Here is a 27,044-nt window from a genome sequence, read left to right as displayed (position 1 = left end):
TCTGGGAGTTCAAACTCCCTGCATGTAGGAATATGGTGTCTGAGGGTGGAGGTAGGGTGGGGTTAGGAGTACGTGGATAGTTCAGTAACATTTTGCTGCCTTAAAAATCAGTGCTTTTGTCTAGGGGTCTGCTGCCTGTTTTGCTATTTGGCTTATAGGATGGTCTCTGAGGGAGGTGTAGATAATGGGGAGAAGCAGTATTTTAATTTTCTTTCAGGTACAAAGGGAACAATGTTTCGTGAAGTGAAGAACGGGCTATTCAATAATTGTTTTATTTTTGTCTATCTCAGTGTTTCTCAAACTTTAGTAATGTATGATCCTCTTTTAATGGATTGATTTCTCATAGGTCCTGAGCATTGACTAAAGGGCTTTTATGACAATGTTTCTTAAAATATTCCAGCTTAAAGCTAGGGATAAACTTCTAACTCTATACTACTGTAAAAGCAAACGAATTCTCAGATTAAATACCCTCTCCAGAAAACCAATAAATTAAAATTAATTTGATGTGACTTAAGATGTTCTTTTTTTTTTTTTTTTTTTTCCAGAAATCAGTGTTTACTGCAGAGAACACAGAAGCCAGCAAGCAGCAGGGAAGGGAGGCGAACCAATGCAGCAGCCCACCGGGACCGAGGAGGACACACGCAGAGCAAGTCACAGGAAGCGCAGCTGAAAACAAATGGACGCTTATCCCAAATGCACAGGACACTTACCAAGAACTGATGGTCCGTCAAAGTAAAGCTCAACAGCTTTGGCTGGCAGGACAGTCAAACTTTTGGACGACAGAAAGTAACAGTGGGAAATGGGACAACATCTGCCAGCAACGCGAGAGGCCAAGACCATGGCTGCTACAGGAGGGGTCAGCGTCACAGTACACGCATGGCGGCGGTTGCACATGCATGCCTGGGGAATGTGAGTGTTCAGACATGCCAGGAGTCCAGCCTCACCAGGAAACAGGCACACGGGGACAGAGGCGCAAACACTGAAAACTCTCGCTGAATCCACTCGGCTGAGCGGTGGTCACGAGAGCACGGCCCTGCGCTCCCCACAAAACTGCACCTGGGCCCCAGGGCGAGACAGGCGTGGAAGGTGCAGGGGTGTGTGTGGGGGCAGGGGCTCCTGGCTCAGAGCCGTATCCAGGAACCCCCCTTCAGGCTGGAGCCCTGCCCTGAGCCCCCTGTGGAGAGACTGTGGAGAGCCCCCTGTGGAGAGGGTGACTGTGGGAGAGCAGCATCAGGCCTAGTCTCGGCTGTGAAGTACCCCCCACCTCCACGCAGGATCCCGGGGATTCTGTCAAGGTGGGGGCCGCCTGCTCAGCCCAGGCTCCCTGAACGTGTGGCTAGCTGAGTTTGCGGAAGAAACCAGGAGAGTGCCAACACCAGGCTTGCAAGCAAGAGGCTCCCTGACTGCCTGATCCTGGAGCGCACCCCATCCTCCCTGTGTTCCCTGGGCCTCAGCTGTTCCCCAGTGACCTTGGAGACACCCTGCCCCACCCTGGCTCCACAGGAGCCCTGCCCATCACCGCCTCAGCTCTGAGTCTCCCCTGGGGACACAACCTTCCTCCTGGTGCAGAGGCGCAGGATGCTGCCCCTAAGGCCCATCTTCCTCTGCAGCATGTTTTGATGTCAGCTCATTCACAGGAAAGAAACAATCACATCTCAGTGCCCAGAATGGGGACCAATAGGAGAGGTCACTGGGAATAAAGCCCACACGCACCCCAGGGTCCATGGGCTCCCCAGAAATGCAGGTGGCCTCCGCCAGAGCCAACAAGCCTAAGTTGCTGATCAGCCCCTCCCTGCTTCCCTGTGTGGAAGAGGAAACAGAGGCCCAGACTAGTAGGGCTCTGCCGTGGTGGCCGGCTGCGTCCCCAGACCTCTGGTCCCAGGGCTGGCTGGGAGTGCCCCTCCCTGTGCTCACTTCCTGCTCTCCTGGGAAATGGCTCAGGGATGGGGCGTGTGGGGACAGATGCTGGCATAGCTCACAAAATGCTTGCACAAGGGACACTCCATGGCAGGTCCCTGCAGGAGAGCAAAGTCACAACATTCAGAGATTCCCTGCACTCTGAGGCCCGCAGAGCCTGGCCGACCAAGCGAGGCTGGGAGGATGTTGCCTGCTGGTCAGGGCAGCCCTCTGATCAGGGCGGCCGAGTGAGGCTGGGAGGATGGTGCCCGCTGGTCAGGGCAGCTGAGCGTGGCTGGGAGGATGGTGCCTGCTGGTCAGGGCAGCCCTCTGGTCAGGGTGGCCAAGCGAGGCAGGGAGGGAGGTACCCACCGGTCAGGGCAGCCGAACAAAGCTGGAAAGATGGTGCCTGCTGGTCAGGGCGGCTGAATGAGGCTGGGAGGATGGTGTCTGCTGGTCAGGGCAGCTCAGGAGGTGCTGCCCAGGAGGTGCTGTCCAGGCAGAGCCTAGGGCTGGTGTGGGTGTGCCATGCTCCTGAGAAGTTTCTGGGTTGTGGCTTTAATGTTCTCCTGCAGTGAGAACGCTGACACTTGGCCAAAGGGTCCTCACCTCTCCCCTAGTACACTTCTGAGATGCCAGGAAGGTTCTGAACATCAGATTGATTCCTGGGACTCCCCTCCAGGGTGGCCTTACTGGAGTCAGGAGCCCCTGCCCCACTAGGATGGCTCTGCAGTGGCCTGAGGACAGTGAGCACTGACTGGTCACTGGTGCAAAGTTGCCCACTGTGATGGTTTTGACCGTTGATGGGAACCAAGTGAAAGCCCTGCAGCTATTTCTAGGCATTTCAGAGGGTGCTTCCCTGCATGTACTCTGCTGCAGACCATCCTCCCTGGGCCAGGAGCCCGCTACACAGTAGGAGATTCTTTTTCTTCTCTTTTGAGCACTTTTATTCTCTTTTTCTTAATCTCTGCTCCTCCTTTGAACTGAGAAATGTGCAAATCTTTTTTGTTAGTTTTGAGGTTGCTTCTTATGCATATTTCATCTGGAACTTTCCCCTTTGGGGGTGATCTGTTCTATCAGCCTGCCCGCTGCTAGAGAGGCCGAGGTGGTCCGGCCAGCCGTGCGCTGCTGCTGGTGTCTCTGTGGGCATGACCTGGTGAGATATCATTCTGCATCTGGGGGTCCATCCTATCAGCCCTGTGTTCTAGATTCCCCAGTGACTGACATTTAGCCAGTCTCCTCTGTCACTCTCCAGTGACATGTACACACTGTTGGCACGAACTGCAGATGTCACGTTCTGTGGCTGAGAGCCTCAGTGTGCATCTGTAGTAGGAGGATGTCAGTGAGGACTGTCCTGTCGCTGCTGAGCTGGCACCGACTGTGCCTGGTCTACACTCCAGGTCTGCCAAACGACCCAGCAAGGTCCTTCACAACTCTTCTGATCCAGGATCACACATCACTTGTGCTTTGATGCCTGCTTCTGAACAATTTTACCTCCTGAGATGTCCATTTTTGGGAGTGTGAGCCCTCCTCTCCTGGTGACAGCTGGCTGAGGCCGTCCAGCCTCAGGACACACAGGGAACGGCTGCATAAGGAGATCTGGGGCAGGGGGCCCACCAGGATGTTCTGCCCTGTGGGGGGCAACACCGGCTGTGGTCTGCCGGCGGCATCCAGGGACAGTCTGTCTAGGTGAGGCTGAGGCCGCCCCCACTCGCTCCCTCACCCCCATGCTGACAGCAGTGAGCTGACCACAGACTGGGGGAGCCCCACAGGGAGACTGGCCTCCCCAGCACATGCCCCGCAGTGCCAGACGCGGTCATCACAGAGGCAGGTACACGACACCACGGACGTGCCACGTACCCGCCATCGGGACCAAGGACCACTGAGAAACCATGAAGGCCATGCAGCGACTGTGGTGGCAGGACCGTCAGGAGGCCATAGGTGCCACGGCTCCCCTCTGGTGGTTCACCTGCCCACCTGTAGCTGGGGTGGCCCCTCCAGTGCGCTCCCCAGAGCAGAACACCCCCCAGGCAACACGTCTGATGAAGGCCAACAGCGTCAGTCCTCTGGTGTTTGGTGACATCAAAGCTGTGCCGAAAGGCCTTCCCTCACTGCTAACACTTGAAGGGCTTCTGTCCGGTGTGGACCCTCTGATGGCGAATGTGGTCTGTCTTATGCTTAAAGATCCACCTCCATTAACTGCACTCTTAGGGTTTCTTCCTCTGAAAAGGAATGAACACGGGAACCCCCTCAAAGGCATTTTTAAATGAAGCGTGGAAGGCATCAAAGATGTGCTCTTCTTCAGGACTCAGGTGGGGCTCTGTGCAGGGCTTCCTGGGCACAGTGGGCCTCTCAGGTGGCTTTCTGTCCCCGGAGGCCTTCTCCTCTCTGGGCACGCTCTTCTGCGCATCGGCTTTCTCCCTCTGGGTCAGCGTCTTCTTTTTTCTGCCTGCAGGCTTCTCCATCATTCTCTGTTCCTTGGAAGCGTGAGGGCTAAGGAGCTGCTGACTTCTCTCTCTTGGCCCCACTTCAAGAAAGGCTTGCTTCCCACACACCTCTCCACGCTCCCAGTGCGGGACTGACACTCTGCACCGGGAGGCCAAGGGCCACCATCGTCTTGCTGGTACCGTAAAAACCCTATCCTCTTTGTTGGGCCTTAGGAGTAAATGGGCTCTGAGGTAGAGAGATCAGTGAGAAGCTAGTTTTGTTCTAAAGGAGCAGAGTGTATGCGTGTGTGTGTGTGTGTGTGTGTGTGTGTGTGTGTGGAGCAGGGCGGGGGGGTGGTGTGGCATGCACCCTGTTGACAGCATAAGATTGCTGTTGTTGCTAATATAGCTATTCGTTAGTATGATATCCTACGTCTCTAACTGATAATGGAAAAGATGGAAAGCCAAGAAGCCAATCCACAATCCAGGAAGGAAAATGTGTCTACAGTCATAAGGGTCTCCTATTATGAGACCCAGAGTGGAATTTGTAGGATGGGTCGATTCATTGTATTTCTATTTCTTCCTTTGTCCACATATTCAATATATGGATATCCTTCTGCCTTTATTTTAAGTACCCAGTGTGAAAATCCTTTGTTAAGTTAAGCCATGTGAGTAGGCTATAGAGAACTGGAATAGTTGCAAAAATACTGAATTTAGCCCATAGAAGTCATTCAGCAGTGTAAGGTACCAGGAACGCAGTGAACTATTATGGAATTGTTACAGCCTAGGATGAAATGTCTTTAGAGCCTCACCTATCAGTGTGATTGTACTTTTTTTTTTTTTTTGAAACGGAGTCTAGCTCTGTCACCCACGCTGGAGTGCAGTGGCACGATCTCGGCTCACTGCAACCTCTGCCTCCTGGGTTCAAGCGATTCTCCTGCTTCAGCCTCCCGAGTAGCTGGGACTACAGGTGCCCGCCACCACGCCCAGCTAATTTTTGTATTTTTAGTACAGATAGGGTTTCACTGTGTTGGCCAGGCTGGTCTCAAACTCCTGACCTAATGATCTGCCTGCCTCAGCCTCCCAAAGTGCTGGGATTACAAATATGAGCCACCGTGCTCGGCCAGTGTGATTGTACTTGTAGCTGACTTCCAGATAATTCAAGATCTCAGTATGAGAAATACTGAATTAGTTCAATCTGCTTCATTATGTATTCTTTTTAACTGCCAGCATTAGATTTATTCATTTATTCAATCAACATTTGTTTAGTCTCTACTACGGCTAGGCTAGGTATGGCTTCCAAATATTGGGGACATAGCAGGGAACCAAAGTGCCTTTCTTTCCTAGTGGAGATTATAGTCTGAATAATAAATGGAGGAATATATATATGTACATATATATCTGCATATATATTCATATATATACACACACACATATATATATTCAGACAGTGATAAGTGCTATGAGGAAAAACAATATAGAATAAGGAACAGAGAATGCCAGGTTAGCGGTGGTTGTAGCTAAGGAAGGTTTTCTTGAAGAGATTGTCTGCCAGTCTTAGATTTGGAGAAAAGTATCAAAGTCCAGCTTTTTCAAGGTTTTCAGTAGTTCTACGGAAAGAAAGGAATGGTTGTATCAGGACATGTTAGGCACTTAAGATAAAAAATACTTGCATTCATTTTCATGGCCTATGTTTCATTCCTTCTCTGTACATGCCCTTAGTTAACAGATGAACAGTATAAACATTACTGATGGCTTGGTCACATACTGTGATAATAACAGAGTTAATGTTGGAACCTTGGGATTCTGAATTTACTTGTGTTCTCTACTGAACCACACATTCTCTTTTCCTCTTTATTTTTCTCTTTTTCATTAAGATAATTGAAGAAGTTAGAGTGATTTCTTTTTCAAGATAGACTAGTTCTTCTCATCTCTTCTTTGATCTTCTATCTGGACTATTGCAGAGTGGGTGTGGGGCAATTAAATGTGCCAGAACTTGAGAGGACTCATGTGCTCCCGTGAAAAAAAGCTCAGCTAGAAAAAAGCTTTTCACAGGGATAAGAATAGGACAGATGGCTTTGTCCTACAGGCTGGATAAGTTTTACTTCTACACCTTCCAAAAGGTAACGCAGAGTTATGAAGTTAGTTTCAATTTTCAGAAAAATGTCTGTCTGCAGCTCAAATATTTATGAGCTTTTAGGATACTGCCACATAAAATAGATGCTTTGGCAAAATTGCTTTTTATAATGGTGATATAACTTATGATATGGGATTTTGAGATTCATGGTTTTGGATTTTTGTACTGTGCAGAAAGAGTGCATGTATTCAGTAGCAACAGGCAGTTCTCATTTCTCTCCAAAACTGCCCCTTTAAATCTCAGCATGGCCTTTTCAATTCTTCTGATTGCCAAATATCAATCTCTTCTGTTACCTTGTAGTTTGGTCAGGACCAATCCCTCTCATGGTTATGAATTTTCTCTTTTCTGGAATTTCTAGAAAATATTTTCCACAGATAGACAGGGTCTCCTGTGTTTTCTATGTCCTCTCATAATTGTTCCTTTTCCCCTTTAGAGAGAAGAGGTGGAAATTGGGCAGGCTAGTGGAATGAGAAGATTTTCCTCTTGTCTTATGTTTATCTGTTTTCAATAAAGCTTTAAAGGCATTTCAATAAAGGGCAATATAATGCTTGTTCACAGAAACAAAAGGGAAAGAAAGTAATTTTAATGTCTACTAAGGGAAATGATATATTTTGGTATCAGAACCTTTCATGATATCATGGCAGGATTGAGGGTGGGGAGCAGATATGGGAAATAAAACAATATGTTTAGAAATTTGAGTCAAACGTTAGAATACAAATATTTTTCTCAAAATGGAGTGTTAGTTTTCTGCCTCTAGTAATGACGGAGCAGCTTGTATCAGATTAATCCTGCAGTTAACAATAATAAACTTTAAACAAAATATGAAAAACAACTATTTGAAGACATAGAGGAGCAACTAAATACAGGCAGAAACATAGGAAAATCATAGCTGAATATTTTTTTTTTAACAATTCTCTTCCAGTAACTGATAGACTAACTAGACAAAAAAAAAAAATAAGAATAGAGATCTGGAAAACACTATCAATCAACATGATCTAATTGACAAGGTAGAATATACAATTTTTTTCAAAGACACATGGAGCATTCACTAAGATAAACCATATGCCAGACCGTAAAATTAATTTCAATAAATTTTCAAAAGATTGAAATTGTATAGAGTATATTCTCTGACCACAACCAATTAAATTATAAATCAGTGACAGTAATATATCTGACAAATCCTCCATTATTTGGAAATTAAATAATACTAAGTAACCCATAGGTCAAAGAAGAAATAATGGGGAGAATTAGAAAATATTTTTCAATAAATTATTATGAAGAAGTCATAAGGAGAGTTAGAAAATATTTCTTAATAAATTATTATGAAAATATATCTAATCTTGTGGGAAGCAGCTAAAAAAGTACCTAGAGGGAAATTTATAGCTTGAAATGCTCATATTAGAAAAAGAAGAAAGGTTTAAAATAAATGGTGCAAATTTCTACCTTATGCAGCCAGAAAAAGAAGAGGAAGTGAAGCCTAAAGTAAGAAGAAAGAAGAAAATAATAACAAAAAGAAAATTAATGAAGTTGAATTGGATTCTTTGAAAAGATTAATATGCTAGACAAACATATCAAGTAATATAAATATAATATATAAAATTATAAAATTTTAATATAATAGAAAATCAAAGGAGAGAGAAAACATAAATTAATGTTAAGAATAAAAGGGGCCGGGCGCGGTGGCTCACGCCTGTAATCCCAGCACTTTGGGAGGCCGAGGTGGGCGAATCACGAGGTCAGGAGATCGAGATCATCCTGGCTAACATGGTGAAACCCCGTCTCTACTAAAAATACAAAAAATTAGCCAGGTGTGGTGGCGGGCGCCTGTAGTCCCAGCTACTCCGGAGGCTGAGGCAGGAGAATGGCGTGACCCCGGGAGGCGGAGCTTGCAGTGAGCCGAGATCGTGCACTCCAGCCTGGGTGACACAGCAAGACTCCATCTCAAAAAAAAAAAAAAAAAAAAAAAAAGGAATAAAAGAGGGGATATCACTCTAGGTATTTCATGTGTCAAAAGGATATCAAGAGTTTAATAAACACTTTGTTTTAGCGGATTACAATTTCCTATAACTTTCTGAGAATGATGCGTGGAAGGTAATTTATTTTTTGAAAACTTACATTTTTGAAAATGTCTTATTCATTGTCACACTTGATAGTTTGGGCATAGAATTCTAAATTTCCTGTCATATTTGAAGGCATTGCTCCATTGTCTTCTAGCTTCCAGTATAGTATTGCTGTTGAGAAGTCTGATGCTATTATTATGCTGAACTTTTGTATATGATTTTTTAATCTGAAAGCTGCTACAAAGGGACACTCCTTGGCCCCCAGTGTAACCTTTTAGTTTGAAAACCCATATTCTTCAATTCTGGGAATTATCTTATTTCTTTGATAGATTTTTTTTCCCTGTTCTCTCTGTCTGTAATTTCTAGTGGTACTCCTATTGTTCATGTCTTTATTTTTCAAACACTATAAGAAATACTCAAATGAAAAATTTTATCTTTCAGTTCTTTTGTTAAAATGTAAAATTTTATTTTATATTTTAAATTTGAAGACTGCTTTATTGTTCACTGAATTTTCTTTTTGAAACATAGCATCCTGACTTTGTTTTATGACTGTAATGCTCTCTTAATTCCTGTGAGGTTATTTATTACAAATGACTGCTGCTTCTCTCCATATTGCTTTTCTTTGCTGAGTTCTGTTTTTGTTAAAATTTTTGTTTGTTTGTTTAGGTCTTTCATGTTGAAGCTTTCCTCAAAAGGCTAACATGCTTGGCTTACTGTTTGTATTTAAAGAGTGAGGCACTAAGAATCTGACTGAGACACTAAAATCTGGCTGGGCTTATTGATTGGGCAAAGATCTAGTAGTTTATGTGGGAGAAGACACCCAGCTCTCAATATTAGTTCTTTTCCCTTGAGCTGATCAAGCTCTCCAGAAAAGAATTCCCCAATTTTCCGACTTCTAGTATTTTACAAGTTGATAGGGAGAAGGAGATCGATGGTTTAATTATCTAGAGTAAACCTCTCCTTTCCTGATGAAATAGTGTATGAGAAGTTTTCTGGCTGGATGGGGTGGGTGAAAGGGTGGGAAGATAACTGTCCTCTATATAGGTTTTCAGCCACACTCTTGTTTTTAGTCCCACTCTTCACCCTTCACCCTCTGTAGTAAGCAGTTTCTCAAATTCCTCATGCTTCCTGGGATTCTGGAGCACCAACTAGCTTCCTTGTATAGTGGCTTCCCAGTTCCACGCACTTAGGTTTCATTTCCTCTGCTTTGCTAGTTAACACTGGCCCATCTACTTTCTGTCTTCCAAAATTATAATATCTCTTATCTGTTGTTATCCCCTTTACTATTCTGTTATTATTCTGGTGATATTTTAGGATGGAATAGAATAAAGCAGGTATATTTAAACTACCATGTTTGATGAGTAGCCTCACTAGGAAGTTGCAAAGACATTGTTACATTGAAAGCCTCAAGGATTCCACACTTGAGAATAGATGGTTCAACTGTTTTTGATGCCAGTAGAGTAGGGATCTTACCACCCTTTGTTCATTTCATCCCACACAGTACAGATGTACCAATAATTCTTCCTACCTGCCAGATATGCTGATAATTTTCCTTACCCACCAGATGTCCACAGTCCCACCTCCCTTTCTTGGAGTACATTAGCACAAGCTGATGAGGTTTAAGGAAAATAGTCCACACAGGGCAATCAGTGGTTGAGGTGCTGGATGATAACGAAGTGAAGTTCTGAGCATGTAGGTCAATAAGAACAATTGGTGTCATTGCTGGGCACACAAAATGGGACATTCTTGCTGAGAGTAAGGGCTGGGCATTCTGCCTGAGCAACTCACTTTCTAGTCAGCTTCTGGGCTTAATGGTCCTTTGTCAGTTACTCTTTCAACTCCTATCAGGCTGTGGCCCTTTACCTTCCTTGAACAACTTCCTAAGGACTACTTCCAGACTTTGTAGGTTGCCTTGTACTCACTGCCCCATTTCTATTGCTCCTTGTCCATTTCTTCTGTTTATCTAGGGGAACTCTTTGTTTCTCTAAGGGGTACATCCTTATTTCTACTGTCTTCTCAAATTCAATCATCTTGTTCTTTAGCATTTGATTTATTGGCTCATTAAACTTGGAACCCAAATTACTAGCAACCTCAAAACAAGTTTTCTTTCTAGGTTACTGGTCTAATGTTTAACTTATTTTAGGTAACTGACCTAATGTTTAAATATATAAATTCTATTGCACCAAAAAAGGGAAGAAAAACCACCAGTCAGACCTCCATCTTGAAACAGTCCAATGTTTATATGTTGTCATGGACCTTTGATGACTTAAAATTGTGTCTCCGTCCAAGTCATTTGGAACTCTTGAAATAGTCAGCTAGCCAAAAGTTATTTTTAAGTGCTAATTTTGTGCCAGCTTTTGGAAAAACAAAAGTAAATAGGAAGGAAAAGATTTCTTGCTCAAGAAGAACAAGAGTTCTAGTTTGAGAGTTAGGCAATGAGCATCTAAACCAAAAATGTATGTAAGAGTACGAGAGAGTTAGGTTTCAAAGATGGTAGTCTCTAGAGCAAGATTATGGGCTAGAGATCTTAGGAAGTGCAGAAACGTCAAAAAGAGGAAGAATAGCAGCATATTCAGAAGGTGAACCCTGTAACTTGGGAAATCCAGCTGAAACCACAGATGCTGATTTCCTATTTGAACTGAACCTGTCTTTTTTCTTTTGAGACAGGCTCTTATCTCTGTCACCCAGGCTGGAGTGCAGTGGCACAATCATGGCTCACTGCAGCCTTGATCTTCTGGGCTCAGATGATCCTCTCACCTCAGCCTCTCAAGTAGCTGGGATGACAGGCATGTGCCACCACCCCTAGCTAAGTGTTTTGTAGAGATGGGGTTTCACCATGTTGCCCAAGCTGATCTTTAACTCCTGGGCTCAAGTGGTTCACCCACTTCAGCCTCCCAAAGTGCTGGGATTACAGACACGAACTCTCATGCTCGCCTTGTTGTTTCTTAAAAAAATCACATTGCTGAGCATAAGAGGAAAAATTGAATCTTTTTCCTATAATAAATCAATCGCTGGTAAAACTTAAAATGAAGAGCTAAAAGTTCTTCCAGATAACACATAAATGTCTTTGCAGGAAAGTATCTCACTATCAAATCAATCTATGCAGTTAGGCCAGGTAATTCTCCTTTCTAAGCTGATTTTGTGGCTGAACTTTTATTGTATATTGAAGGTGATAAGTAAGATAAAGGAAAGACAGTTTGGATGAGGATAGCATTCAGCATTGTGTTCAGTTTATGCAGTTAGATTTTTTTTTCTATTTTGAAATCTTATTTATTCTTTCAAAATGCTTTTTAGGAAAACATTTGAAATAGATGTTTTTATTATCCAAGGCGCTTGTGATGTGGCAGGTTTTCTAACTGTGGTCAGATTCAGATGGTGAATAGTTCTTCATAATAACACTGATGTTTGGTGTGCCAGTTTCTTTTTATGTAGTTATAATGGATATCGTTTTTGTTCATTTTCCCCTTGTTTCCCTCATCCTATGGTATTTTTTACCATTCACCTCCCAGTATAGTATGAAAAAAATTATCTCCTGAATCACCTGTGTCTCTCAACAGGTCAGTTACGATTTGGTCAACTTGGAAACTATCCATAGAGCTAACCTGAATGCTTTGGGCCAGTAACTCCACTTAGTTCTCAACTGCAATGAGGGATTTCTATTTGATTGAAGTGTGGAGGAAAGGCTCCGAGCCAGGGGGAACACAATTGCTGACAGACTGGCATGATAAAGGCCCTAATGAATGCACTTTATAGAGCACAAAGGTAGTGTCTTTTTTGAGTCAAAATTTGGAGTCTGACTCAGTTCATATCCAGTCTCTGTCACTTGCCAGTTGTGTGACTTTGAGCAAGTCCTTGCTGAACCTCGATTTCTTCATCTGTAAAACAGACACCTTAATGTATCTGCTTTACAATGATGCTATACTCTTTAAATAAGGTTATATGCAAGATACTGAATATATATAATAGCACAAAATAGGTGCATGATAAGTTAAAGACAAAAATAGAGAGCTGTAGATACTAATACTATTCTCATTTTCAGATTTTTACTTGATAATGATGAAAACACTTCAAGGACATTGGCTAAATGTTTAAAACAGGCAAGTTGGGCAATAGAACCTAATTTAAAAAAAGACAGGAAGGTAGTGGACAGAGCAGCATTGCATAAGCAGTCAGATAGCAACTCTTCCTTGTAGTCTGAAGCAGATTTACTAACATAAATATTTGAATATTTTGAGTATTCCTTAATAAGTCAGGCATCCATGACTGACTAAGCATCATTAATACAAAGTATCTTATGTATCCTTAGTACTTAAAAGTTGTATTATTAAAGGGAAAATAAAATTGGAATATTGCAGAGGAAAAGTTATTCATAGGTTGACATAAAAGACATAAAATCTTGTAGTGCATAAGGTTTAATAGTTCTCTTTTTCATAAATCATGAAAAGGGCTTTTCTTCTAATTTGATGGACCATTTCTCTTTCTCCTTCTCCATCTCAGTCTGGTGTAGCACTTGGTGGTGTCCAATGAATATTCATGATGACCGATTTCTTCCCAGCGGCAGCACTACATGTAGAAAGAGAGGTTCTCACTGATCGCTTCTGATCTGTAGAGTACAATTTAAAAACCAGCCTGGTTAATCCACAAACATAAAACTTACCTGTTTTCACAAAACATTGTATTTAGAGTACTAAGATCTGTAAATTGTTATTTTTTTTCTTTCAAATATAGCAATCACATTTTAAAAAGGAATTTTCTGGGTAATTAAAGTAGTTCACCTACTTGCACTAAGCGTTGGTTAGGAAGGCAGCCTTGTGTACAAAGGGCTTTGTGTTTATTCTGTTTCAATGTATGGAACCACAAGGATTTTTTGATTAATTTTCTTTTAGAATTGTTTGTAAATTCAGTATGTACTTGATATTAGGATTTGGTGGAACCACTGCAGAAGGTTTTGAAAGAGCTTCACGATGCCAATGTAACAACTAACAAAATAATTAAATCAGCAGCTGATTATATAATCTATTTACTTAATGGACATAGGATAGATTTTAAAATGCAGATAATGTAAAACATTCACAATTCAATCAATTCTGAACTTATAAACATTGTCTTGGATTCAGGATGTTCCAACTGAGGAGAGATGCTTCTCTGTTATGCTAAGACTCAGGCTCAGGCACACTGAATTTGAAGTAGGTAAGAGGAAGGGAAGGTGAAGGGAGAGAAATGGAGAGACAGGTTGAGCAGCAATTGAGTAGGAAATGCGAGATCTAGCAAAGTCGGTGTGCATTGGTGAGGTGAAGTGTAAATGTCTAAAGAATTTCAGATTCCCTGGTGAAAGGTGCTGTTGCAATAAAAAGCAAAGAGGTGTGAAGTGTGTTGGTACTGGCATGCATGAACATTTACAGTTATTTTAAACACTTTCAAAACACCCTGCCTCCCGTTGCTTTAAAAAAATCTTATTTATTTATTTTAATTGTGTGTGGAGGGCTGGGGGCATTAGGGAATGGAGAGCCTTTGTCAATAAATTCTTAGTTCTCTGATTATAAATAGAGGCACACCAGAGTACCATGTTTTAATTAGAAACCTGGGACCAGAGAGGATTACCTCAGGAATACATTTATTTTCAGCTCACGGAGCTTATAGGATGATCTTATTATTGCAGAAAGCAGTGAAAGAAAGAAGGCTGTGACAGAAGCAGATATCTTGAATAAGAAGAAAGTTTAGAGAAACTTCCCTGAATCAAAAGTTGATTGTTGTTTGCAAAATATATCTTAAAGACAAATCTAGTTAATATTGGGTTTGAAGATTTCATAACATTTCTCAGATAATAGGCTGAAAGAAAATGTATTACCAGTCTGACTGAAAAAGTGTAGCTTGTAATTATTTCTATTTCTTAACAATAACTTGCTCTTACAAGTTAGAAGGGAAAGAGAATTTACCAATATAAGTTTGATTTTATATCAATAAAATTAGAAAATACTTCAAATAATACTGACAAAATATTTTTTGTCACATAAATTTAACACCATGACTGATTTGCCTCAGTTTTTAAAAATTATCTTTAAATAAATTAATAATCTTAGCCCTCCTTTGTGTCCTTCACTGCTATAATGTGAATATGTCCTCCAAAACCCATGTGTTGAAAGCTTTATCTGCAGTGCAATAGTGTTGGGAGGTGGGGAGTTTTGGGAAGTGTTTAGGTAATGAGGACTCTACCCTTATGAATGGATTAATGCCATTATAAAAGGGCTGGATGAGCGGACAACAAATATAGGAAAAAATGCTCACATCACTCATCAGAGAAATACAAATCAAAACCACAATGAGATGCCATCTCATACTAGTCAGAATGGCTATTATTAAACAGTTAAAAAAAAAGATGCTGGTGAGGCTCCAGAGAAAGAGGAATGATTATACACTGCTGGTGGGAATGCAAATTATTTCAGCCACTATGGAAAACAATTTGGAGATTTTGCAAAGAACTTAGAACTCCTTTTCGACCTAGTGATTCCATTATTGGGTATGTACCCAAAGGAAAATAAATTTTTTCTACCAAAAAGACACATACTAGTATGTTCAATAGTGAAGACATGGGATCAACCCAGATGCCCATCTGTGGTAGACTGGATAAAGAAAATGTAGTACATATACATCTTGGAATACTATGCAGCCATAAAATAAAGAAATCATGTCATTTCCAGCAACATGGATGCAACAGGAGGCCATTGTCCTAAGTGAGTTAATTCAGGAACAAAAAATCAAATACTGCATGTCCTCACTTATAAGTGGGAGCTAAGCATTGGGTACACATGGACATAAAGATGAGAACAGTAGACTGTGAGGACTACTAGAAGGGAGAAAGGGAGGAGGGCGAGGGTTGAAAAGTTACCTGTTGGGTACTATGCTTACTACCTGGGTGGTGGGATCATTGGTATCCCAAACCTCACACAATATACCCATGTAACAAACCTGCACATGTATTCCCTGAATCTAAAATAAAAGTTGAAATGATATTTAAAAAAGGGGCTTGATGGAGAGAGTTTGTCTCTTTTTTGCCCTTCTACCACTATACTAAAAAGAGTTTCCAACAATTTATTTCTGAACAGGCATAGAAATTCCCATGAGGTAAACTTAAATGCAAGAGGCAGTGTTTATACTAAAAAATTTGAATATAGAATAATGGCATTCACCTAGATAATTCTGGACAATATAATATACTAATAATGAAAAGAATTTGTTTTTGAAAAACAATTTGAATTACATGGAAAATTTTCTAATTCTGAGTTAACTTGTGTATCCACAATCATAGAAGTGGTCTACTTAGTCACAATTATTTATATCTACAGTCCAATAGAAACAGAATGTGAGCCATAAATCAGAGTCACATATGTCATTTAAAATTTTCCAATGGCCACATTAAAGTGGTAAAAAGAAACAGGTGAGATTAAATCTAATTACATGTTTTATTGAACTCAGTACATCTAAAATATTATTTTAACATATCAGTTTAAAAACTATTGAGATATTTCACATTACTTATAAAATACTAAGTGTATTAGTTCATTTTCATGCTGTTATGAAGAAATACCCCAGACTGGGTAATTTATAAAGAAAAGAGGTTTAATTGGCTCACAGTCCCACATGGCTGGGAAGTCCTCCGGAAACTTACAATCATGGTGGAAGGCATCTCTTCATAGGGTGGCAGGAGAGAGAATGAGTGCCAGCAGGGGAAATACCAGATGCTTATACAACTATTAGATCTCATGAGAACTCACTCGCTATCATGAGAACAGCATGGGGGAAACCGACCCCATGATTCAATTACCTCCCACTGGGTCCCTCCCACAACACGTGGGGATTATGGGGATTATACTTCAAGATGAGATTTGGGTGCAAACACAGCTAAACCATATCACTAAATCTTTGAAATCTGATGTAAATTTTATACTTATAAAACATCTCAATTGGGATTAGCCATATTCTAAGTGCTCAATAATTATATGAGGTTTATAGCCATTATATTGGACAGTGTAGCTCTGTATCATCTGACATGATAGAGTGCCTTCTACACTTAATTGTCTGTGTGGTTGTGTAGATCTACAAGCACAGAGCTGAACAGGATCCCAAAGTAGCTAGGTTGGTATTTTTTTCTTTGTAAAGAAGCTTGCATACTAGTACTACAAAAAATGAAAAATTAAAAAAAAAGGATCTGAAATTTGAACTGTTTTATGCTGCTAGATAGATGTGGTGATTGCTGAAAACATCAATTTTTAAAAACATTAATATGGTATCATTTGTAGAGTTAACAAAGAATAAAATACAAGGTTGCTTTATGGACTTGAATGGACATTTCTCCAAAGAAGATATATGAGTGGCCAATGGGCACATGAAAAGATACTTAACATCACTAGGAAATCATTAGGGCAATATGAATCAAAGCCATAATGCAATATCACTTCACACCCATTAGGATAGCTATTATGAAAGAAAAAGAAACAGAAAACAGGTATTGGTGAGGGTATAGAGAAATTGCAACCCTTGTGCACTGCTGGTGGGCATGTAAAGTAGTGTAGCTGCTGTGGAAAACAATATGGCAGTTCCTCAAAAATAAAAAATAGAATTACCATATGATCTAGCAATTCCACTTCTGGGTATATACCCCAAATAAGTGAAAGCAGATTTTGAATAGATATACGTAAACTCATGTTCTTAGCAGCATTATTCACAGTAGTCCAAAAAGTGGAAGCAACTTAAGTGTCCATGATGGATAAATGAATAAATGGAATGTAGTATACAAATATAGTGGAATATTATTCAGCCTTAAAAAGGATGAAAATTCTGACACATTCTATAACATGAATAAACCATGAGGACATTATGCTAAACAAAATAAGTCAGACAGAAAAGGACAAATACTATATGATTCCACACATATGAGGCACTTAGAGTAGTCAAATTCATAGAGACAGAGAGTAGAATGGTGGGTGTCAGGAGTTAAGGGGAGGGAGGAATGGGGAGATATTGTTTAATGGGTACAGAGTTTGAGATTGGCAAGATGAAAATTGTTTTGTGGATGGATGGTGATATTGGTTGTACAACAATGTGAATGTACTTAGTGCCACTGAAATGTATACTTAAAATGGTTAAAATAGGCCAGGTGCCCTGGCTCATGCCTGTAATGCCAGCACTTTGGGAGGCTGAGGTGGGCGGATCACAAGGTCAAGAGATTGAGACCATCCTGGCCAACACGTTGAAATCCCGTCTCTACTAAAAATACAAAAATTAGCTGGGCTTGGTGGCACGTGCCTGTAGTCCCAGCTACTCAGAAGGTGGAGGCAGGAGAATCGCTTGAACCCGGGAGGTGGAGGTTGCAGTGAGCCGAGATCGCACCACCGCACTATAGCCTGGCGACATAGCGAGACTCCATTAAAAAACAAAAACAAAAAAGAAAAACAAAAAAACGGTTAAAACAGAAGGCAGGTGCAGTGGCTCATGCCTGTAATCTGTAATCCCAACACTTTGGGACTGAGATGGGAGGGTCACTTGAGTCCAGGAGTTTGAGACCAATCTGGGCAACAGAGCAGGGCTCAGTCTCCACAAAAACTAGAAAAAACTAGCTGGGTGTGGTGGCCTGTGTTTGCAGTTCTAGCTACTTGGGAAGCTGATGCAGGAGGATTGCTTGAGCCCAGGAGATCAAGGCTGCAGTGAGCTATGATCCTGCCACTGCACTCCCGCCTGGGTGACAGAGAGAGATGGTGTCTCTAAAAATTTTTTACAAAAGATTAAAATAGTAAAATTTATGTTATTTATATTTTATCATAATTAAAAATAAGTGATTTTTAAAAAGTACAAGGTTGCTTTGAAAATAGTCTACATTATCTGTCTCTCCTTGATTTTCTTTTTCTTCCATACTAACTTATCATCCATGTTTTCTTAAGCCAATTGGTCAGTCAATACCACTGTACACAAAGAAGAAGTCACTCCTATAAAATCCCAGACTTCTCTCCAAAAATTCATTTTATATAAAGTCAAAATAAAAAAGCTTTTTGAAAACCTGAATAGAAAGCTTCATATTCTTTTAGCATCATTACTAAATTAGTCTTTACTTGACAGCAGGGATCTTATGAAATTTCAAAAGAAAGAAATTTTGCAGGTAAAAAAATTAGATGTATCATTGCTCTAACAACCATTTTTTTTTCTATTTGCAATATTTTTAGGTCATAATTTTGATAGCTTGAAGTAATTTTCTGATTTTTCATGAGATATGTAGCTTTGTTTTCTAGTTTATATGTTCTTTGATAACTTAAATTCCATATTTTCTTTTTTTTTTGAAATTGACTTCAGGTCCTGAGTTTGCCTGAAGATTTTCTTATCTCATGTAGACTTTGATTTCATTTTTGGTTCTTCCAGATGGTCAATTACATTCTCAGACAACTTTGAAACTTGGATTCCTCTTATAAAATGTCCTGAAAAGGCCAGATTTTTGGTATGCCACTCAGAGCAGGTTCATAAAGTTTAAGGTAAACATGAAAAGGCAGTACATTTACAGGTGTTCTGTTTTAAGCAAATTTCTGTATAATCTATAACATGAATAAGCACAAGTTAATTTTTTATCCCTCATGGTCTTTTAATGTATACTCACTGGGGGTGACTATAATTCCCTCCCCAGGATGAAACCTAGGCAGGTCTCAGGACTTTTTTGGTGATTTTTTAGGTAATAGTCCTAACATCACTTAAAGCTACAGATAGTCTCAACTCAGAAAACAGAATGTCTGATGTTCAACAATGATGAAAATTCTTAGTGTGACTTAATCTCAAATCTCCCTTCACCCCATCAAGAACCTAAGGCTGCTGTTGAGGACTAGGGGTAAGAAGCTTTGTTTCCGCCTCCCAGCCTCTTCCATTTGCTAGCTGTGGAGTTGGTGGGGAGGGGAAGGTCCCAGATATTCTAATTTGATTCAGCAGTGATGCAGGATGGTGTTGATTCAGCAGTGACGCAGGATGCGTATATATGACGCATATATGGGCCTGACAGGCATTTATAGCTGCCCTTACCTTGTGGACACTTTTGTGGGCTATTTGAGCCTCCCCTTGGGGGCTCTTCTAGCCCTGGGCTGCTGGAAGGGACTACCCCTTCAGCCCCTAGTTCTCATGTGGTCCCTTTTTTCAAGACCTCTGTTGGTGTCTTCTTGCTCTTCCTTTCAGGGTAGGATTTTCTTGGGTAAGATTTCAAACAACTTCAGACTGTTTTTCAGAATGGTCCATATTTGGTCCACAGGAAATCCTCTCATGCTCTTGGACCCACTGTGGGAAAAAGGGCAGTTTCTTTTTAGATTAAGTAACAGATCTTTGTTTTTGCAATAGCCAATGTGGTTAATCAGCTTGTTACATACTCCTGCCTTTCAGATTTTTCTGGTAAGAATGCCGCCTGTGTTTCCTAACAAAACAACAAAATAGAAGTATTGTGTTATAGACAATGTGCCAAGACCAGCTCGGTTGGGGAGACCCTAACCCAGCGGTGCTAGAGGAATTAAAGGCACACACACAGAAATATTGAGGTGTGAAGTGGGAAATCAGGGGTCTCACAGCCTTCAGAGCTGAGAGCCCCGAACAGAGATTTACCCACATATTTATTAACAGCAAGCCAGTCATTAGCATTGTTTCTATAGATATTCGATTAACTGAAAGTATCCCTTATGGGAAACAAAGGGATGGGCCGAATTAAAGGAGTAGGTGGGGCTAGCAGCAGCGTGCAGCAGGAGCATGTCCTTAAGGCACAGATCGCTCATGCTATTGTTTGTGGCTTAAGAATGCCTTTAAGCGGTTTTCCGCCCTGGGTGGGCCAGGTGTTACTTGCCCTCATTCCCGTAAACTCACAACCTTCCAGCTTGGGCGTTAGGGCCATTATGAACATGTTACAGTGCTGCAGAGATTTTGTTTATGGCCGGTTTTGGGGCCAGTTTATGGCCAGATTTTGGGGGGCTTGATCCCAACAACAAGGAGAACTGACATGGCCATGAACCATGTGTTATATGTAATTCATTGTAATTAACTCAATAAAAATGTGAAAATAACTTTAAGATTTTTTTATAATAAGATTTTACCTTAATTATAAAGATCTAGGACTTATTCTTTGCTTGGCATGGTTTGCTGCATTACAGAACTATAGAACAGATGATCTCTGCAAAACTGACCATGTTAAGATAGTACCCCACTTTGGTTTTAGGTGTGCCTAAATGTCACTTCTCTCATTCCTCAGGGTGGCCAGGAGGGAACTGCTACAAACATTATCAGCTTTTATGTGTATAATAAAAAATGTTGGGAAGCCTTGTTCTATACTTCACATTAATAAAAAGAACATTAGCATGAAGGTTGAAAATAAAATTTTAAAAATTGAATTTAGCAAAATTTCATTATGGGCTCTGGATATGCAAATTGCTATTAGTAATTGCTATCATAAGCGATATCTGGTGTCAACTCTATGTAAATGTCAGCAATTAACAGCACACATTATGTGTTTTTGTCATCTTCTAAGCTGGCTGGTTCCTACTTGTTTTGAAAATATATCACTCTTGGAAGAATATTCAGAAAGAACCTGTAATTTGTCAGCATCAATCATTTTCAGATTCAAGTATGCAGGATTTTACAGGATGGGTTTTGCAGTGCTAGCTAAAATTTAAAGTCTCTTATTTGGTACCACATAAATTAGTCACACAGCTGATTAGTAATGATCATACATCTTTGCTAATTCTTTGGGTTTACCAAGCATTTTCATCCATATTAACTCATCTGATCATATTTCTGTATTAAATATTGGGCTAAGTTTCAGCAACACTGTCCAGTTCAATTGAAATTTATTCATATTTTATGGAAATAAAATCTTCATTTTGTTCATGATAGTATATATATATATATATATATATATAGAAAATATTTATTTCCTTGACATTTTATTTGTCCAGAGAGATGAAAAAGGTAATGACTGAGTGTAATCAAAGTGTTTGTATCTTCTACTACATCAAGCATAAGAACAATTTTTATTTTTTAATGTACCATGCTGTTAGAAAATAACCCTACATTTCTTTTACCATGGAGACCATTAAATTACCTTGCTGGAACCCAGATTTGAGTCTGCTAAAAATATTCAATCAGGGCTGTGAAGTTAAAAATATATTTTCCTACTGGATTTTTAAAATCTTCTAAGGAGATTGAAGGAGGGTCTAAGTGACCAGCCTTTAAGATTTTAGAGAGAGAATAAAGTTCCAGAGCCAGTGATGATTTGGTTCTCATTAAGAATTTTTAAAAGTCATGAAAGATGGACAGCCCACAAAGCTTGATTTGTTCATCTTTCCTTCTGGTTTGGAATTACTTCGTGATTGAAACTGTTGAGCAGATTGACAGGAATAGCAAACTCTGTCAGGCAAAATGCTTTCAAAGTAAAAGTAAACATGATTTCCATTTTGTTCACATTCTTGAGATGGTACAGAGTTGTAATACACAAAGTAGGCTCAAATTACGTTTGTTAAATGAATGAACTAAATTTAGTGAATCCCAGGTATGTTGCCTTTAAATGACACAAATAGTGAAGTTCTCTATTCAGTAGTCCCTTGACATCAAGTATTTTCCAGGTTGTGTGTGTTGATGCTTCTTTAATGTAATTAAATAAGTATAATTTATGTATATACTTGTTATAGATTAAAATCAATGCAATAAATGACATTTAGTAAACTATTCCTTTAAATTAATAGTTTTTCTCAGAATGCAATAAAAATGATTCTGCTCCCATCAATTTTAACACTTACTCGATGTGTAAAGTTACATTGGCCAAATAACTCAGCTTGGAAAATATACCAGCAGCTTCACAGTTACATTCCAGTGACTCAAAGAGACAGTGTGAAAAGATACCACAAACTAGTTCTTATTGATCAGCAATTGCATTTTCATGCTGTCCTGATAAAACACAGCAAGAAAATTCAGAACTTGGGTGTCTTCTTAATATATCATAAGAGGAAAAAATTTGAGAGGTTTGATGAAAGCTAAGCTTTCTCGTAAAAGCATGACCATAATTACCATCTTTCTGGTATAGTTATTAGGTTTCTAATGGCACAAAAGGCAGGCCTGGTTTCCCAATATGGTTTCTTACTTGAGCTCACTCATCGAAATGGATGTGTGTCCTTTGCACCATCTCAAGCTCTTTGAAAACTGAAGTATTAGAGCTAACTGTATTTATGGGAGGAATAGGTAACATGGGTGAGTTTTCCCAGGAAACTGACCCTGAGATGAATATTTTATATGCTGGAAGTTTACTTGGGAATGATCTAGGGATCAACACCTATTGGAGAGTGAAGGAGGCAGGATTGGGTACAGGGAGAAGTTGATGAATTTGTAACAGAAACTTCAGCTGATCCCACAGAGAGCTCTGGAGTAGGACTGTCCTTTAGAATGGGCCCAAATTAAGACATGAAAGCTGGGCCTTTATACCCTTGTGTGGGGTGGGGGTGAAGGTATGATTTTGGGTGAGGTGGTTCTTTTTAGCTGAGGGCAAGTCTAAGAAGGGACTTAGGTGAAAGCTCTGGACCACCGGTACTCAACACTCCTGTAGCCATGGGAATGTGTGCTTCAGTTCTCCGGTGTGGCGGTCTGAGCATTGCACTGTAGCATCCACTACAGTAGGTAACCATTTAAAGAGTCAATGATTCACAAAACCTCAACATACCTTGCAATTCTGTTGGAATTTAAACTTGGAATTTGTAGAGACAAACCCTTTTCCATGGTTATCTAGTACTTTTTGATCACCTACTCTGTGTTAGGCATTATGAAATACGGGTATGCGGTGATAAGAGCTAAGCTCGCCCTGAGGTGTTGACACTATTAGAGAAATTGAATTGTTAGAGAAAATTGAATTTTCAGTGATGGAATATCAAGTATTTTGGTATACTAGGGGTAAGGGATGGGCTTATTTCTTTTTTGGGAGAGTTGGGTTCTAGCCCCCTCATATTCCACTACATCATTTAGATGATTAACCCATTGTTCCTCTTCTTAAAGTTATCTCTGGTATGTTCATAGAAATCATGTATGTCTCTTTGAACACTTTGAACTAGCAGATAGTAATAATAACTAGTATTTCTCTAGCATTTTGCAGCTTTCAAAAAGCAGGATTCCTTTGTCACTGAGACAAAGGAATGAGGCAAATGAGAAAACAGAGAGAGGCTCAGGGAGATTACTTGATTTGCTAAAGTTCCATCATCAACAAATGATAGTCAGCATTCAAATATGCTTTTGTTTTCCTACATGACTCTGTTCACCTTGTGGAACAGCAAAGGAACCAAAAGAGGCCACCTGCTGAAAGTACCTCTTATATTTATTTATTTATTTATAATTCTTTATTTTTTTTCTTAAAATTTTGCATAGGTTATTGAGGTACAGGTGGTGTTTGGTTACATGAGTGAGTTCTTTAGTGGGCTTTGTTCGATTTTGCTGCACCCATCAACTGAGTAGTATACACTGCACTCTCTTTGCAGACTTTTATCCCTTTCCCCGCTCCTACCCTTCCCCCAAAGTCCCCAAAGTCCATTGTATCATTCTTATGCCTTTGGGTCCTCATAGCTTGGCTCTCACATATCAGTGAGAACATATGATATGTGGTTTTCCATTCCTGAGTTACTTCTCTTAGAATAGTAGTCTCCAATCTCATCCAGGTCACTCAAATGCCATTAATTCATTCCTTTTTATGGCTGAATAGTCTTCCATTGTGTGTGTGTGTGTGTATATACATATATATGTGTGTGTGTATATATATATGTGTGTGTGTAGATATCTATCTATCTATCTATATCTACACACACATATATACATGACAGTTTCTTTATCCACTCGTTGCTTGATGGGCATTTGGGTTGGTTCCATGATTTTGCAATTGTGAATTATGCTGCTATAAACATACATGTGCAAGTGTGCAGTATCTTTTTTGTATAATGACTTCTTTTCCTCTGTGCAGATACCCAGTAGAGGAATTGCTGGATCAAATGGTAGTTCTACTTTTAGTTCTTTAAGGAAACTCCACACTGTTTTCCATAATGGCTGTACTAGTTTACATTCTCACCAGCAGTGTAGAAGTGTTCCCTGTTCATCGCATCCATGCCAACATCTACTGTTTTTTTTAAATTTTTATTTTTATTTTATTTTTTATTATGGCCATTCTTGCAGGAGTTGGGTGGCATCACATTGTGGTTTTGATTTGCATTTCCCTGATCATTAGTGATGTTGATTATTTTTTTTCACATATTTGTTGGCCATTTATATATCTTCTTTCGAGAATTGTCTATTCATGTCCTTAGCCCACTTTTTGATGGGATTGTTTATTTTTTTCTTACTGGTTTGTTTGAGTTCATTGTAGATTCTGGATATTAGTCCTTTGCCAGTGTATAGATTGTGAAGATTTTCTCCCAATCTGTGGGTTGTCTGTTTCCTCTGCTGACTGTTCCTTTTGCTGTGCAAAAGCTCTTTAGTTTAATTAGGTCCCAGCTATTTATCTTTGTTTTTTTGCATTTGCTTTTGGGTTCTTGGTTATGAAATCCTTGCCAAAGCCAATGTCTAGAAGGGTTTTTCCAACATTATCTTCTAGAATTTTTATAGTTTCAGGTCTTAGATTTAAGCCCTTAATCCATCTTGAGTTGATTTTTGAATAAGGTGAGAGATGAGGATCCAGCTTCATTCTCCTACATGTGGCTAGCCATTTATCCCAGAACCATTTGATGAAAAGGGTGTCCTTTCCCCACTTTATATCTTTGTTTGCTTTGTCAAAGATCAGTTGGCTGTAAGTATTTGGGTTTATTTCTGAGTTCTCTGTTCTGTTCCATTGGTCTATGTGATTGTTTTCATACCAGCACGATGCTGTTTTGGTGACTATGGCCTTACAGTATAGTTTGAAATCAGGTAATGTGATGCCTCCAGGTTTGTTCTTTTTGCGTAGTCTTGCTTTGGCTATGTGGGCTCTTTTTATGAATTTTAAAATTGTTTTTTCGAATTCTGTGAAGAATGATGGTGATATTTTGATGAGAATTGTGTTGAATTTATAGATTGCATTTGGCACTATGGTCATTTTTACAATATTGATTCTACCCATCCATGAGCATGGGTTGTGTTTCCATTTGTTTGTGTCGTCTGTGATTTCTTTCAGCAGTGTTTCATAGTTTTCCTTGTAGAGGTCTTTCACCTCCGTGATTAGGTATATTTCTAAGTATTTTATTTTATTTTTGCAGCTATTGTAAAAGGGGTTGAATTCTTGACTTCCTCTTTACCAATTTGGATTCCCTTTCTTTCTCTTATCTGATTGCTAGGACTTCCAGCACTGTATTGAAGAGGAGTGGTGAGAGTGAGGATCCTTGTCTTGTTCCAGTTCTCAGAGGGAATGCTTTCAACTTTTCCCCATTCAGTGTTATGTTGGCTATAGGTTTGTCATAGATGGCTTTTATTCCATTGAGGTATGTCCCTTGTATGCCAATTTTGCTGAGAGTTTTAATCATAAAGGATGCTGGATTTTGTCAAATGCTTTTTCTACATCTATTGAGATGATCATGTGATTTTTGTTTTTAATTCTGTTTATGTGGTGTATCACATTTATTGACTTGCATATATTAAAACATCCCTGCATCCCTGGTATGAAACTCACTTGATCATGGTGGATTATCTTTTTGATATGTTATTGGATTCAATTAGCTAGTATATTTTTAAGGATTTTAGCATCTATATTCTTCAGGGATATTGGTCTGTAGTTTTCTTTTTTGGTTATTTTCTTTTCTGGTTTTGGTATTAGGGTGATGCTAGCTCTATAGAATGAATTAGGGAGGGTTCCCTCTTTCTCTCTCTTGGAATAGCGTCAATAGGATTGGTACCAATTCTTCTTTGAATGTCTGGTAGACTTATGCTGTGAATTCATCTGGTCCTGAACTTTTTTATGTTGGTAATTTTAAATTACCATTTCAATCCCACTGCTTTTTATTGGTTATTTCAGGGTATCTAATTATTTCTGATTTAAGCTAGGAGGGTTGTATTTTTCCAGGAATTAATCCATCTCTTCTAGGTTTTCTAGTTTATGTGTGTAAATGTGTTCATAATAGCCTTGAATGATCCTTTTGTATTTCTGTGGTGTCAGTTGTAATAGCTCCCATTTCATTTCTTACTGAGCTTATTTGGGTTTCCTCTCTTCTTTTCTTGGTTAATCTTGCTAATGGTCTATCAATTTTATTTATCTTGTTAAAGAACCAGCTTTTTGTTTCATTTATCCTTTCTATTTTTTTTTGTTTCAATTTCATTTACTTCTGCTCTGATCTTGGGTATTTCCTTTCTTCTGCTGGGTTTGAGTTTGGTTTCTTCTTGTTTCTCTAGTTCCTTGAGGTGAGACCTTAGATTGTCAGTTTGTGCTCTTTCAGTCTTTCTGATGTAGGTGTTTAGGGCTGTGAGCTTTTCTCTTAGCACCATTTTTGCTGTATCCCAGAGGTTTTGATAGGTTGTGTCACTATTGTCATT

At 39.9% G+C, this 27,044-nt stretch overlaps 1 long non-coding RNA gene across 1 annotated transcript in view, besides 1 other annotated feature; it reads left to right on the top strand.

The window, feature by feature from the left end:
- The window catches only part of LINC00639 (long intergenic non-protein coding RNA 639), a 167,544-nt gene that overhangs the window by 77,133 nt on the left and 63,367 nt on the right, over positions 1 to 27,044 (top strand). The window contains exons 3-4 of the long non-coding RNA NR_039982.1: positions 546 to 4,208; positions 4,352 to 4,519. This is a non-coding gene — a long non-coding RNA (long intergenic non-protein coding RNA 639). The remainder of the gene's footprint in view (positions 1 to 545; positions 4,209 to 4,351; positions 4,520 to 27,044) is intronic.
- Positions 1,079 to 1,615: an enhancer, noted in NCBI's record as "H3K4me1 hESC enhancer chr14:39307339-39307875 (GRCh37/hg19 assembly coordinates)". NCBI's record gives its function as "activates a minimal SCP1, AML or CMV promoter by ChIP-STARR-seq in primed H9 embryonic stem cells {active_cell/tissue: H9 hESC(primed)}" and the evidence as "EXISTENCE:reporter gene assay evidence [ECO:0000049][PMID:30033119]".

The sequence above is a fragment of the Homo sapiens genome, chromosome 14, assembly GCF_000001405.40.
Source record: "Homo sapiens chromosome 14, GRCh38.p14 Primary Assembly".
Classification (NCBI taxonomy): Eukaryota; Metazoa; Chordata; class Mammalia; order Primates; family Hominidae; genus Homo; species Homo sapiens.
This window is presented reverse-complemented; position numbering and strand designations above follow the sequence as displayed.